This window comes from Homo sapiens, chromosome 3, assembly GCF_000001405.40.
Source record: "Homo sapiens chromosome 3, GRCh38.p14 Primary Assembly".
Lineage (NCBI taxonomy): Eukaryota > Metazoa > Chordata > Mammalia > Primates > Hominidae > Homo > Homo sapiens.
Window position 1 is genome coordinate 112,754,825 of NC_000003.12, and position 15,860 is coordinate 112,770,684.

A 15,860-nucleotide genomic window follows, 5' to 3' on the forward strand; every position below is an offset into this window, starting at 1 on the left:
ACTACGGAGTCCTTCTCAGGCCATATTTAGTTCACTTTAACACCTGTGAACTAGTACCTCCACTGCAGCAGAGCCTAAAAGTGCTAGAATGGAAGTACAAATGTCCTGAGAGGGTCACTGGGAGTGACAGTGAGAGGAATCACTCCTTCTGCCACTGGTTTCTTGACCTACGTGTTATAACTTTTGAGTCACCAAACCATGTAATGGCTATAGATTTGAAGTTTAGGCTGGGAACGGTGGCTCATGCCTATAATCCCGGCACTTTGGGAGGCCGAGGCGGGCAGATCACTTGAGTTCAGGAGCTCGAGACCAGCCTGGCCAACATGACAAAAACCCGTTTCCACTATAAATACAAAAATTAGCCAGGCGCAGTAGCTCACGCCTGTAATCCCAGCTACTTGAAAGGCTGAGGCAGGAGAATCCCTTAAACCCAGGAGGCAGATATTGCGGTGAGCCGAGATTGCGCCACTGCACTCCAGCCTGGCAAGAGAGCGAGACTCTGTCTTTAAAAAAAAAAAAAAAAGTTTATATCTCTCCAACTCTGCAGGGTATAATTCCCAAATGGGCATGTTAATTGTACTTCCAAAAATGATATTATGAAAATTTTCTAAAATGCGCAAAATATAATGAACCTCTCTGTATTTAGCATCCATATTCAACAGTTGTTAAAATTATGTAACATGGTTTATCTTTATTCTTTGTTTAATTTTTTTCTTTTGCTCTGCCTATGTCATTTTAAAATTCTTTTACATTTTTTGAGATATAATTGAAGTACACTTCACACATTAAAAGTGTATAAGTTGATGAGTTTTGACATATTATACACCCTTAAAGTCATCGCAAAAATCAAGATAACAAACATTTCCATTACTTCCAAAAGTTTTCTTCATGCCTGTTTGTGATCCATTCCTCCATCCACCACTGTCCCCAGGCAACCACTGATCTGTTTTGTCACTGTAGATTACATTTTTTCTATAATTTTATGTAAATGTGTTAAAAAATATTAATTACAAGACCTTTAGGCTGAGGTAGCTCCAGGGCTCTGGGTCCCTACATAAGCAAACCAAAACCCAACTCACTGTAAATAAAACAAAGCTTAACCAATCAGAAACTAGCAACTAACCTCTTATTAGGGACTTTCCACTGGAATGATCCAAACAAGGTTACTGCTCCACTTTGACCAATTTTTAAAAACTGTTTTGCCTTGCTTCCTCATTTAGTCTATAAAAGTGTTTCCCTCATAACCCTTTGGGGAAGCCTCCAAACCACTTGTGGTCTGGAGTTGCCTGATTCATGACTCCCTGTTTGCTGAAATAAACTCTTGAATATTTTAATGTGCCTCAGTTTATTTTTAACAAATTAAATGATATTAATATGTGCTCTTTTTTTGCTTGGATTCCTTAACTCAGCATAATTATTTTGAGATTTAGGCACTGATATGGGTTGGCTGTGTCCTCACCCAAATCTTATCTTGAATTGTAGTTCCCATAATCCCCACATGCCGCAAGGGGTCCTGGTGGGAGGTAATTTAATCATGGGAGTGGTTAACCTCATGCTGTTCTCGTGATAGTGAGTGAGTTTTCATGAGTTCTGATGGCTTTATAAGGGGATTTTCCCCCTTTTGTTTAAGACTTCTCCTTCCTGCCATCATGTGAAGAAGGACGTGTTTGCTTCCCTTTCTGCCATGATTGTAAGTTTCCTGAGGCCTCCTCAGCCATGCGGAACTGTGAGTCAATTAAACCTCTTTTCTTTATAAGTTACCAAGTCTCAGGCAGTTCTTTACAGCAGCATGGGAATGGACTAATACATGCACATTGTTACATATCTCAACAATTTATCCATTTTACCATCGAGTAGTTTCCCAGTGTATGAATATAAAGTCATGTGCTGAATTACAGTGCCTTGGTCAAGAACAGACCACATATATGACAGTGGTCTTATAAGATTATAATACTGTTTTTTACTGTACCTTTTCTGTGGTTAGATACACAAATACTTATCATTGTGTTAAAATTTCCCACAGTATTTAGTATAGTAATATATTGTACAGGTGTGTAGCCTAGGAGCAATGGGTTACAGCATATAGCCTAGGTGTGTAGTAGGCTATACCATGCAGGTTTTTCTAAGTACATATGATGTTTGCACAAAGATAAAATTGCCTAATGACACATTTCTTGGAATATATCAATTTCATTAAGTGATGCATGGCTGTACCATAATTTATTTATCCTTTCACCTGTTGATATACATCTGAGCTGTTTCTAGGTTTTGGTTATTAAAAATAAAGCAGCTATGAGCATTTGTATACAAGTCTTTATGGGGGTGTAGGTCTTCTATTTTCTAGGAGAAAAATGGCCTGGTCTGTGATAGGTGTTTGTTTTTTGTTTGTTTGTTTTTTAGTTATTGTTTTTAGTTTTTTAAGGAACTGTCAAACTTTTTTTCAAAATAGCTATACCATTTTACATTTCCACTAGTAGTCCAGAAGAGTTCCAGTTGTTCCATATCCTTACCAAAACTTGATTGGTCACTTATTTTAGTTATTGTATTAGGTGTGTACTGATAACTCATTGTGGTTTTAGTTCACATTTCTCTAATGACTAATGATGTTAAGCATGTTTTCATGTTAATTTGTCATGCATATATCTTCTTATGTGAAGTATCTGAATAAGACTTCTGCTTATCTTCTTATATTTAAGGGTTTTTATATGTTTTAGAAACAAGTTCTTTGGTAGATATACGTGTTCCAAACATTTTATCCAAGTTTGTGGCTTGCCCTTTTGCTTTCTTTTGAAGAACCAATGTTTTTATTTTGATGAAGTCCAATTTTATAATCCCTTTTCTTTTATAGTTTTTGTTTTTTATGGTCTGAGAAATCTTTGCCTACCCCATGGTAGCAAAGATTTTCTCTTGTGTTTCTTCCTGAAGTTTTATAATTTTACATTTTACATTTAGGCCCTTCATCCATTTCAGGATAACTTTTGTGTATGCTGTGAGGTAGAGGTTGATATTTTTCATATTCATATCAAGCATCAACTTTTTGAAAAGCCATTTTTTTCTCATTAAATTTCCATTGCACCTTTGTAATCAATCAATTGATCATGTATCTGTGGGTCTATTTCTAGACTCTATTCTGTTCCATTGATAGATTAATAGATATATAATCTTTTTACCAATGCCAAAATGTCTCTGTTACTATGACTTTATAATAAGTCTAGAAATCAGGTAGAACAAGTCCTCCAACTTTGTTCCTTTTTTGAAAAATCAGTTAGGTCATTTTAGGTGTTTTTCACTTCCATATATAATTTCAAATCAGCTTTCCAACTTCTACAAAAGAGCTTGCTAGAATTGTTATTGGTATTGCACTGACAAATTTGGTGATAATTGAAATCTTCATGATCTCAAGTCTTCTAATTCATAATCATGTCATGCTTCCCCATTTACTTAGTTTTCTCAAACTTCTCTAAGCATGTTTTGCAATTTCGAGTGTAGAGGTCTTGGACATTTTTTATTACAGTTATTCCTAAGTATTTTATGTTGTTCATTTGCTACTGTAAATGAAATTGTATTTTTTAAATTTAATTTTCATATTGTTTGCTAGTAATGTATAAGGAACAATTGATTATTGTATATTAACCTCATAGCCTGTGGCATTTCTAAATTCATTCATCAGTTCTAGCAGTTGTTTTGTAGAGTTCTTAATATTTTCTACATGAGCAATCATATCATCTGCAAATTCTTTTTCCTTTCAACTTTTTATGGCTTATTTTTAATTTTTTTTCTTATCATACTGGCTAAAACCTTCAAAACATATTGAATAGAAGTGGTGAGGGTGAGCAGGGACCTGTTTCTTGATTTGAGGTGTAGCAATTCAGTCTTTCACCAGAAAGAATGATATTCATTGTAGGGTTTGTTTTGTTTTGTTTTGATCAGTTTAAGGAAGTTTCCTACTCTTCCTAGCTTGATGATAGGATGCTGAATATTTCAAATGCTTTGTGCACATTGAAACAATATGATTCTTCACTTTTATTCTGTTAATATAGTGAATAACATTAATTGATTTTTGAATGTTAAACCGAACTTGCATTCCTAAGATAAAACCTACTTGGCCATGCTCTATTATCCTTTTGCCATATTATTGGATTCTACTTGTTGACATTTAGTTTTATTGAGTTTTCTTCTTAATTATTTCCTTTCTTCTACTTAGTTTGTGTTTACTTTGCTCCTGCTCTTCCAGATTCTGCAGGTGGAAACTTATGTCATTGTTTTTATACCTTGCAGATTTTCTAATATATGCATTTAAAGCTATAGTTTATCTTTCTATTCTTATTTTTATTCATATCAACGTGTTTTCTAATTTTCCTTGTGCTTTCATCTTTCACCCATGAGTAGAAATGTGTAATGGTCAAAGAATACATTATGTATGATTTTGACCTTTCTAATTTTATTAATTCTATTAAGAATTATCTGACTATATATTTATAACAATACCTCGTATTAGTATTATTTTACAAATGAAGAAACTGAGACTTAGAGAAGTTCTACAGCTGGAAAGGACAGAGTCAAGATTCCAGTCCAGATAATCAGGCTCTAGACCAGGTGCTAGGAAGGGCCATGTGAGATAAGCTCTGCCTGCTTTCAGGCCTCAGAGTATTAGCCATGTGTGTTCTGTGGCATGGGCCCTTCAGAAAATTAAACTCTGCTAACAAAATCTTCTCAGCTGGATGACCAACAAGGCATTGCTCAGTCTGCATTAACAACTTCTGGCACCCAGACAAGGGCAGGAACAGGGCCCTCATGGGGACTAAGAATCATCTTCTGCTGTGGGCCCTTCAGAGCAGGTTCCTGCATTCCACCCTCAGCTGATCCATAGCACTAAGAAGACAGGGGGCTCCCTGACATGAGCTTTCAGGATGAGGTAAGGGGAGGGTCTGCAGCATCCCAATCATTTCATGCAGCAGCTGCTTGGGCCCAAGCTAGCTGTGGAACAGCAAGGATGGCTCTGTTTGAAGGGCTGATGAGGAAGGTCTAGCCTCCCATGTGAAAGCTCAAGTCACCAGGTGGCCTCTCTTGGGACTGATGTTCTTTGAGCATATACCATTTTTCTAGCGTATAATGTTCTTGGTTACAATTTATATTGACTCAGCTGCAGGCACTCTGCTGACACAGCTGTGTTGTCATCTGAAGATTGTTAATTCCTCATATAAATGTAATGATACACACATATAGCTTTGGTCTGGGTCTGGGTGGAAAAAAAGTGAGCAAGTGCCCCCTCTCTAAAATTACACAGGAGCCATAAACCCGCGGTAGGAGGCTATTACTAAATCTAGACATCTCGTACTAGTTAATGCTTTGCTAGCTAGGCCTTAAATCATGCCACTCATATTATTCTCTCACTTACACCCCTTCTACAAATTCACTATCCTTCACCCCGCCTCTGACACTTCTGTGAGATGTATGGGATCCAGCCTGAGAGAGCACCTCCATTTTGTAACAAGGAAACTGAAGAGCAGGAAGAAAGAGTAACTCACCCAAGGTGAAGCTGGACCAGAACTCAGAAGCAGAAGGTCTTTGTTCAGTAAACTTTGCAGTAGAGTACAGCACCCTGGGTTAAACATGGTGGCCCACGTTCTGCCTGTCAACCTATACATACTATGGAATGGAAACTGTCAGTTCCACAGGGATGTTTGAAAAATAAATACTCTGCTTTCTCTGCATTTCCTATAGATCCTGTGTTAGTTTCTTGTGGCCACCATAATGAATTACCATAAATGTGGTGGCTTAAAGCAACAGGAATTCATTCTCTCACCGTTCTGGAGGCTAGAAGTCTGGAATTCAAGTGTGAACAGTGCTGGTTCTTTCTGGAAGCTCTGAGGGAGAATCAGTTCCATGCTTCTCTTCTAGCTTTTGCCAGCAATTACGGGTATTCATTGACTTGTAAATGCACCACTCCAACCTCTGCCTTCATCTTCACATTACCTTCTCCTCTGTGTGGTCTGTCCTCTGTGTGTCTCTTATAAGGATATTTGTTTTTGAATTTGGGGCCCACCTGGATCATCCAGGATGAGCTCATCTCAAAACCCTTAACTTAATTACATCTGCAAAGAGCCTTTTTCTAAACAAGGTCACATTCACAGGTTCCAGGTATAAAGACAGGGACATATATTTGGGGTAGGGGCACCATTTGCTACATGCCAAAGCTAAGTAAAATATCAGAGTCCATAATTAATTTAAGTAAGAAAATATTATTGAGTTTTTAGTATGAGGCAGGAATTCAGCTAGGAGCTGGTGATAAAGAAACAAGTGAGATATACCACTACACACCTAACTGTAATCTAATAATAGGCCCATATGCAACTGATCCAAACACTGGTGAGGTACAAGTATAGGAGCAGGCATTATGCCATCATCCTGTTGGAGACATACTTAGCTTATATGAGTAATTTTAACAACAACAAAAGAAGTCTTCCCTAAAATCCCACTCACAGTTAAAGGAAATGCCATCATTTCCTTTGCTTTTGGTGTGAACCCACCATATGGAAGATGATAGTACAAGAAGTTGACAGAGTTAAGACATACCATACCTGCCTCTTTGAAAATACTTCATGTGGTGTACAGCAGAGCTCTGGACAGTTTCATCTTCTTTGATTTCTGTGGTCAGACTCTCTCAAAGTGAATGTGGAGCTCAAACTACTTTTCACTGTATCAAGTAATAAACATGCTAAATCATTCCCAAAAGGCAATGAAGAATAAAAAGATAGAACTCAATAAATGAGAAGTGCATTTCCCTATAGCAAAAAAAAAAAAAAAAAAAAAAAAATACTGCTTCAAGTTTTTTTCTTGTGGAAACCCTGGAAACAAGAGCACATTCCCATAGAGGTCCACATTCTCTCCTAGTTAAGAGACTGGCCCGCTTTACTAACTTTTTCCATCAATGTAGATTTCATAGCTAATTCACAAAGACAAGACCCCTAAACCACCAGAATTTACAAGAATCGAAGTTACTGAATGAATTTTGTCTAAAATTAGGGGAGTGCCAAATGCTTTTAACTTCACCTCCTACTCCATTCCACTACCCCAGGTATAGCATTCAGTAGGTTTTTCCTTCTCTGATTCTGACCCTCAGTTCAGTCAGTCAGAGCCAGTTTAGAAGCAGATGCAGTTCAATGCTTTCTTAATGCAGCAATCTCTGAAAGACAGTGGTGAACAGAAAAGGAGAAAGAAAAGTTTATACCTCTATGGATGCATATTCCTCAAGTTTGCCAGAAATATTAGAAAAGGTTTAATCCCCTCTAATTTGAGAAGATTAAAGCTTAAAAGCCATCTTGAGCAAAGCAGTGTGTTCTGCCACTATGCTGCTGGCATGGGCCACAGATGAGATCAGGGCCCAAGGCTTCTAGGTTTGGGCTTCTTTTTCCTAAAAGAGAGTGGGAAGGACAGGGAGAGAAAGAGAGAGAGAGAGAGCCTTTTGACTTAAGTAAATGGCCTGATTCGAAGCCCAACTTGCCAAAGCGCCAGAGCCAGGCGTTTCAGAGAAAGGAATCAGAATGGAGGTGCTCACAAGAAAGGCCTTGATTTGGATTCCAACTTAAAATCGCATTTCCAGACACAGCAGAAGGATGCACTTCTGGTTGATTCTCCTTGCTGTTGTCATGACCAGGAGAATTCTGGTCCACATCCATTCTTAATTGGTTGATTACATTTGATCCGGAGGCCATGAAATTGGCCAGTTGATTATACCCTTTCAGAATGGTTCTCTTTGGGAACTGCAGTCTGGTGTTACACTGGATGGGGAGTTTCCTTGTGGTTTTTACTCCTTCTACAGAAATGCACTTCTTTCTCCCAAAGCAAGTCTCCTTCCCATTGTCCCTCATAACTCTTCTTTGGCCTTCTCTCATATTGCAGAAGATTTCCAGGTTATAACCTGGAAATTTCATTACTTAGGATTGTTTATGCCCAGTGTCACAAGAACATGAAAGACTTATCCAGACCCTGACCACTTTTCCCTTCTAGGGCACACTCCAGAAATGCAGCCACAGCAATATTTCTTATGTATATTACACTGCAACTTTGATATTTGCTTAATAAAATTTGGCAACACATGGTCCGAAGTGCTTAGTTTTCTTGGGGCACTTTCTAAGTGATTTGTACCTCTGATTTGATTATTCAGTCCACAAAAAATCTGCTCTTTAGACCTGTCTAGAGTATTTGCATTCAGTCTCTTTTGTCTCTGGGGAAACAAGTGAGCCTTAGGCCACAGAAGATGCTCTAATTTGCCCATCCCTTTATGATAACAAGAATTAGCCAGCCAAAGACTGGAATAAAGCAATCACTACTTATTTCTTATTTTACCATGAGGATAAAATGATCACATGCAAAAAAAAAAAATTAGCAAGGTATACACTGCAAACAAGTTTCGGGGAGACAGAGAGGGGTAGAAGATTGTGGTTTCATTTGACGAAATTATTATGCTCATATTTTCCAGTTTGGTTAATCCACACTTACCTTACTTTCCCTGTTCATGTTCACATTAGTGGGGTTATTTTCTCAGGATGCAAGTTATAGATAGTCCATGCAAGTGTTTTCTTAGGTAACCTTTGGATCTAAGTAGCATGAGGTCATGATTGCTCAATTCACATATGAAGATAATAGGAGTGAGAAAATGGCCCAGAATTAAGGGCAGTTAAACAAAAAGTTAATTGTGAAGAGGATAAGCTTATGCAGCCCCTTTCCTGAACTTTCCTAAATCCGTTTTATTATAGTGCCCTTTTATTATAAAGAGAAAACTTCTCTGTAGGCTTTCAAAGATCAGAGCTCTTCAGTCCCGGCTATACTAACCATTATTTAACCTTAATAATTAGAAGTCTTTCTCTCCATGCACTTCCTTCCACTGGGGACTTTATGTCAACCCCTGCCCCCAATAAAAAAAAAAATGAGCTAGAAAGTTTAACTGTGTTTTGACTAATAAAGAGAGGAAAGAAAATGGAATTAAGCCTAAAAATGTGGCCCCAGAATGACCAGATTATTAGAGTAAGGAATATCTCAAGTAAGAAATGCATTCTAGTCTGAAAAATGTTTAGAGATAGATTAAACCAGTGGCGACCAGGCATGGTGGCTCACGCCTGTAATCCCAGCACTCGTGGAGGCTGAGGAGGGCAGATCACGAGGTCAAGAGATCAAGACCATCCTGGCTAACACAGTGAAACCCCGTCTCTACTAAAAAATACAAAAAATTAGCCAGGTGTGGTGGTGGGCACCTGTAATCTCAGCTACTCGGGAGGCTGAGGCAGGAGAATGGCGTGAACCTGGGAAGCGGAGCTTGCAGTGAGCCGAGATCACGCCACTGCACTCCAGCCTGGGTGACAGAGAAAGACTCTGTCTCAAAAAAAAAAAAAAAGAATAAAAATTTCTACTCCCCACCAACCCACCAGGCTCTTATATAATGAAATATCCCTTGTTAAGTCGCTATGGGTTTAGCAATTCTTTCATTTTTAAAATGTTTATCAAAACTACTAGTGGTATGAATATTCCATGAACAGGTGGTACCAATTATATTTTAATTTAGGTCCAGAGTACATCATTTTGAGCAACCCCTTCCCCTATACATAAAAATATTTTCAGAAATAATCATGAGATGATACAAGTAATAAAATGGCCAGAAAAGAAATATAGACAATGAAAAAAAATAAAAATAAATAAAAAAAAAAACCAGTGGTGGTAAAACAGTTTGAGATAGATGAAATGCTGTTTCTTTTCTGGACTGGCAATCATTCTCTAGTGGGCAATGTTTTTAAAACACAGAGTATATTGGGTTTGCTTTTCATTTAAGAAAAAAGCACTCAAGATAATCAGGAAAAAAATCAAAAAATATAGAAAAGGAGGGAGGAAAAACAAACACACAAAAACCACCCACTTATAGTCCTACTAGATTAGAAACAATCTTGGGAGTCTGTGGAATTCTGTGAATTTTGTGAAAAGAACATGACCTTTGGAATCAGAGAGATCTGGATTATTTTATTTTATTTTATTTTATTTTATTTTATTTTATTTTATTTTATTTTGAGATGAAGTCTGACTCTGTCACCCAGGCTGGAGTGCAATGGCGCCATCTCAGCTCACTGCAACCTCCACCTCCCAGGTTCAAGCAATTCTCCTGCCTTGGCTTCCTGAGTAGCGGGGACTACACATGCGTACCACCATGCCCAGCTAACTTTTAGATTTTTAGTAGAGACGGAGTTTTGCCATGTTGTCCAGGCTGGTCTCGAACTCCTGGCCTCAAGTGATCTAACCGCCTCAGCCTCCCAAAGTGCTGGGATTACAGGCGTAAGCTACCGCACCTGGCCAAGATCTGGATTTAAATCCAGTTCCAAGCTGTGTGACCTTAGACAAATCCCTTCAATTTGAGCAGATGCTTAGTGAATGGAAAATGAACTACAAATCTGATCACTTTTCTATATCAGAGTCACTGTAGAGGAATACTCACTTTTTCTATTCATATACCTCCCTGATTTTCAGATCGATGTTTAACTATCTTTAATGTTCCTGATTTGGCTTGTTTATTTTTCATTGTTATGATCTGAAAGCCACATTACTGGCTTCTTCATTTGGCCAGTAACTGCAACTCCATTGCAGCCTTATTTTAGCTAAGTCTATTGTAGCTCTTGCCTTTCTCCCCACAGGAACCCTGCTTTAGCCTTTCCCAAAGACATTTTCAGTCCCTACCTACTAGCATTGGTGTGCCAGTGACATCCTACTCTTCTTCTTGAAACAGGGAGCAGCCCATGAACCTGATGCTGCAAGACCACCTTCTTAGTTCTCAAAGTAAACAAAGGTTAAAATGAAAATGGTTATGATGAATCATACTAATGCTGTGTTTCAAAGAACTTCCTATAGTATTATGTCAACAAGATAAATTAATTCAAATGTTGGGAAAGCTACTGCACCTCTTGCCCACTGCGCTCTCTAGTGTGCTTTGGAGGAGCACCCACTGCTGCAAGTCCTTCCCACACAGCTTGCAGAGTAGCACCCAAGAGTCCTGGGGGCCGCCCTCCCAAGTTGGATGCAAGCAAAAGTCTATGTACAAACTCTTTTCATTACCCAGGCTGCCGAGAGAGCCTTCTGGAGCTCACAGATAAAATTCAAAAAGCTCAAGCGGTAGCAAAACCTTGATGCTTATTGAAAACCAAAGCAAAGCAAAACAATAATCCACCTAGCTTATCAACACCTTTCCTGGGACTAGGTGAGGTCATGCTTTATGAAACGCCATGGGTTGTGAAATTAGTTTGATAGATGCAGTTCACAATTTTTAAATAAAAAAAAATAGAAAGCATTAAAGTAGAAGATAGATGGTACAGGTAGATATTGTTTCACAAACTTTTTTCAATGTGTGTATGTCTTTGTAAAGCAAATATTTCTTCCCATGATCACAGTTAGAAAGGTTTAAAAACTTTTTCCATGGTCTGAATGTTCGTGTCCCTCAGTTCATAGTTGAAATTGAATCCCCACTGTGGTGGTATTAAGAGTTGGGGCCCTTGGGAGGTGATTAGGTCATGAAGGCAGAGCCTTTATGCATGGAATTAGTATTCTTATAAAAGAGACCCAAGGAGCTTATAAGTCCCTTCCTCCATGTGAGGACACACAGAAGGTGCCGTCTATGAGGAACAGGACCTCGCCAGACACTAGATCTACTGGTGCCTTGATCTTGGACTCCCCAGCCTGCAGAACTGTAAGCATTACATTTCTGTTGTTTATAAATTACCCAGTCTAAGGCATTTTGCTATAGCAGCCTGGATGGATTGAAACGAGCTTTGCGTTAGGACTTGGGCCCGGAGTAAGAGCAGGGTAACACGAGGGGTCTGAAAGATCATTGGAGAAAAGAACAGGGCAATGATGGGGACAGGTAGGTGCTTGGGTGGGTACCAAAGAGAATTCTTTTCACACTTCTGCCAAATTCCTGCACATATATGCATGTACACCAAACCATACCACACTCTACATACACATTTGCCTATTCCTAACACCACTGTTCTAAATTCCTAATATGTTTCCAATTGCTGCCTCCAGCATAAGTGCCAGATTCCATCCTTGATCTGAGAGAATCTTGGAAAATGTCAGTCCAGGTGGATGTCCACAGGAAGAACATTAGGAACAAAGAGAGACCTCTGTTTCTTTCTTGAGCTGGGTGTAAACACTAATGCGAGAGTGATCAACCCCCTTGTTTACATACCTTCCTATTTTAGAGTTTCTGCTTTGGAATATTTAGATTAACAAGAATATCATATGTACAAATATCACAAGAAGAAAGTCTCCAGTTTTAGGTTAGATTGCTAAGCAGTTGTAATTCAAATATGAGAAAACTTGAAGTTTTATGTTCTTAGCCACATCATGTGCTCTACAAATGTTGCGACAGTCTTTCCTAAGGAAGGTCCAGTTAAACCGCAGCCTCCTCTCAGTTCTCTCTAAATCCAGCAGGGAGTGTGTGTGTTGTTCCTTCTCCCTGTGTCTTGATCTCAAGAGGTACCTTAGGAAGGCTGCAGTTGGACAGCTGAGCCAAAGCCACAAAGACCACATTTAACTCTCCTCATTTGGGTACATTTGACATGTTCTCTCATCTTATCACCATGGAAATCCCACAGAGAGAGTGTGAGTGAGGGAGAGGGGAACTGAAAAGGACTCACCCACAAGACATTACTGCCACACCCAGAAGCAGGTTGGTGAGAGGTGGAAGCAGCCCCCTAGGTCTCCTCAGCTGCTGGGTCTAACCAGCCCCTCATAGGGTGTGGGATGCTCAACCCTGTCCCAACTTCCCTCCCTCCCTCCTGTGGGGCTAAAAGGCAGCCTCAGCTCCATTCTTCAAGCTTCTTTCCTTGCATTCCTCCCCTGACCCTCAGCCCCATGACTCTGTCCCATAATATTTACCTGCAGTAGGCAGATGTTCAGATCACCTCACCCAGGAAACCTCCCTCAGAAAACTTTGCTTCTTCTATTACCCTCTGAAAATTTTATTTCTATAATTATTTATCTTAATTTTGGTGAGCCTTGTTGCATATTTAATCATTAGCATCCTACTGGTTTTTTGTACTACACTATTTCTTCGTGTTCCTGTTCAAGCTACCCTACAAAAACCAACTATCCTGCCAGCTTGGCAGAGTGCCTTTATATTTCATAGATGCTGCCTGATTCATGAATTGCTAACAAAAGCCAGTTAGATTATTGAACTACATCTATTGAAATTTTGTTTTTTGACATTGTAAGTATGAAAAAGAGCCCCAAGAATATTTGACATAGAACACAAAGGTAGCCCAGGAGTGGGGTGTATGAGGTCAAGAGAATGGAAAGGGCTGGGCGTGGTGGCTCAAGCCTGTAATCTCAGCACTTTGAGAGGCCGAGGTGGGCAGATCATGAAGTCAGGAGATCGAGACCATCCTGGCTAACACGGTGAAACCCTGTCTCTACTGAAAAAATTAGCCAGGTTTGATGGCACACACCTATAGTCCCAGGTACTCGGGAGGCTGAGGCAGGAGAATCGCTTGAACCTGGAGGCGGAGGTTGCAGTTAGCCGAGATCGTGACACTGCACTCCAGCCTGGGTGACAGAGAAAGATTCCGTCTCAAAAAAAAAAAAAAAAGGGGAATGGAAAGGCCAAACAGGGAAAGACCACAGAAAAAACATTGAATCTGAATGTGATATTTGGGGCAGTGGAGAGGCAGTGGAATGAGCCTCAAAGGATAGAACTTAACACCATTTAGAGTAGTATAAACGTGTGTTGTGTCAGGTGGATTCTCAGAAGTCTTATATGGCAAGTTCTAGTTAGTTTTTGGTCTCCAACACTGTGACATGGTTGATAAAATTTCCTAACATTAAATAGGCTGTATCATGTAAGCAAAGATTTCTTAAACAGATTACAAAAATAAATTGCTTATACAGAAAAAGACTGATAAAGCAGACTTCATTAATTCCAAGAACTTCTCAAAAAAGATACCACTAAGAGAGTAAAAAGACATGCCACAGACTTAGAAAAAATATTTGCAACTCATCTATCCAACAAAGATTCAGTATTTAATGTACTTAAAGAAATCACACATCAATAAGAAAAGGACAGTTGACTCAAATACAGTGACTCCTTGAACAACGAAGGGGTTAGGGGGCAGCAATCCCTGTGCAGTTGAAAATCTAGGTATAACTTTTGACTCCCCAGAAACTTAACTACTAATAGCCTACTGTTGACCAGAAGCCTTATTGATAGCATAAACAGTCGGTTGACACATATTTTGTATGTTCTATGTATTATATACTGTCTTCTTTCAATAAAGTAAGCCAAAGAAAAGAAAATAATAAGGAAGAGAAGATATATGTACTATTCATTAAGTGGAAATGAAACATCATAAAAGTCTTCATCCTCATGATCTTCACTTTGAGTAGGCTGAGGAAGAGGAAGAGAAGGAGTTGGTCTTGCTGTCTCAGGGGTGGTGGAAGCAGAAAGAAATCTGCACATAAGCGGACTTGCACAGTTCAAACCCATGTTGTTCAAGGGTCCATTGTAAATACAATTTTATGAGAGGAGAGGCAAATGGCAAAAGACTTGAACTTCACAAGATATTCAGGGAAATGCAAATTGAAACCATCCCTTGCTCTCAGAATGGGGGGGAAAGGGTGGTGACAAAGACATGGAACATCTGGAATTCTCATACATTGTTTTTGGGAGCAAAATTGGTATGAACATTTTGGAAATATATTTTTAATAGAAGTATCTACTAATAGCTATATAAACACATACCCTATAATCCAAAATTCCATTCCTTAGTGCACAAGAATAGTCATAGCAGCAGTTTGAGTCCCAACTGAAACCAGCCCAAATATTCATTAACAATAGAATGAATAAGCACATTGTGATAAATGTATGAAAATGGGATATTACTCAGCAATGGAAATGAACTAGCACTAACATAGCAATGTGGATGAGTCTCACAAACATAGTAAAAGAAGCCCAACATGAGAATGATTTTGAAACTGCCTTTGCAAAATTATGACTGAGACAGTGAAAGAGATCTAACTTAACTGACTCCATCTTGCTTCTAACTTCCAAGCTGTCCTTGTTCATTACTGGGTGTAGGTTGAACTAACTTTGGGAGAAACTTAGTTTGTAGTTTATAATTTAAGCAAAGATGGTAACAGCTCTTTCCCAAAGCATACCTCCTTCTTTCCTGGGGACTAGACCAACATTAGCCACAAGATTAGAAATTATGGTTTAGGAGTCATGCAGCTGGAAGCTACAAGATTCTGATTCTCCCTAAACTGCTCCTAAGATCAGGGCTTGAGATATTTTGCAGACCCTGCACTTGTTGGATCAGCTGGCACCACCCAGATGATTAACTGGCTCATCTGATCTTGTGGCCCCGCCCAGGAACTGACTCAGCGTAAGAAGACAGCTTCAGCTCCCTATGATTTCATCCCTGACCAATCAGCACTTCTGGCCCCACTGGCTTTTCCCCACCCACCAAATTGTCCTAAAAAACTCTGCTCCCTAAATGCTTGGGGAGACTGATTTGAGTAATAATAAAACTCTGGTCTCCCACACAGCCGGCCCTGTGTGAATTACTCTTTCTCTATTGCAGAGGGCAAGGTGAACCCCTTGGGCAGTTACAAATTCATTTACATAAATTTGAAATGACAAAAACAAGTTATGGTGATCACATCAAGATAGCAGTTATCTTTAGGGGAGTGGGAAGTGACTGAGAGAGACACAGGGGAAATTCTGGAATGATTTTTATGTTCTATTTCTTGATTTTATGAAGGATACACATTTCTGGTTTTTAAAAATTCATCAATTTGTACACATTTATGAGTTTTATATTTGTCTGAGT

At 39.1% G+C, this 15,860-nt stretch overlaps 1 annotated feature.

The window, feature by feature from the left end:
- Positions 15,278-15,572: an enhancer, noted in NCBI's record as "tiled region #12929; HepG2 Activating non-DNase unmatched - State 24:Quies, and K562 Activating DNase matched - State 8:EnhW". NCBI's record gives its function as "activates a minimal TATA promoter and a strong SV40 promoter by Sharpr-MPRA in HepG2 and K562 cells {active_cell/tissue: HepG2 | K562}" and the evidence as "EXISTENCE:reporter gene assay evidence [ECO:0000049][PMID:27701403]".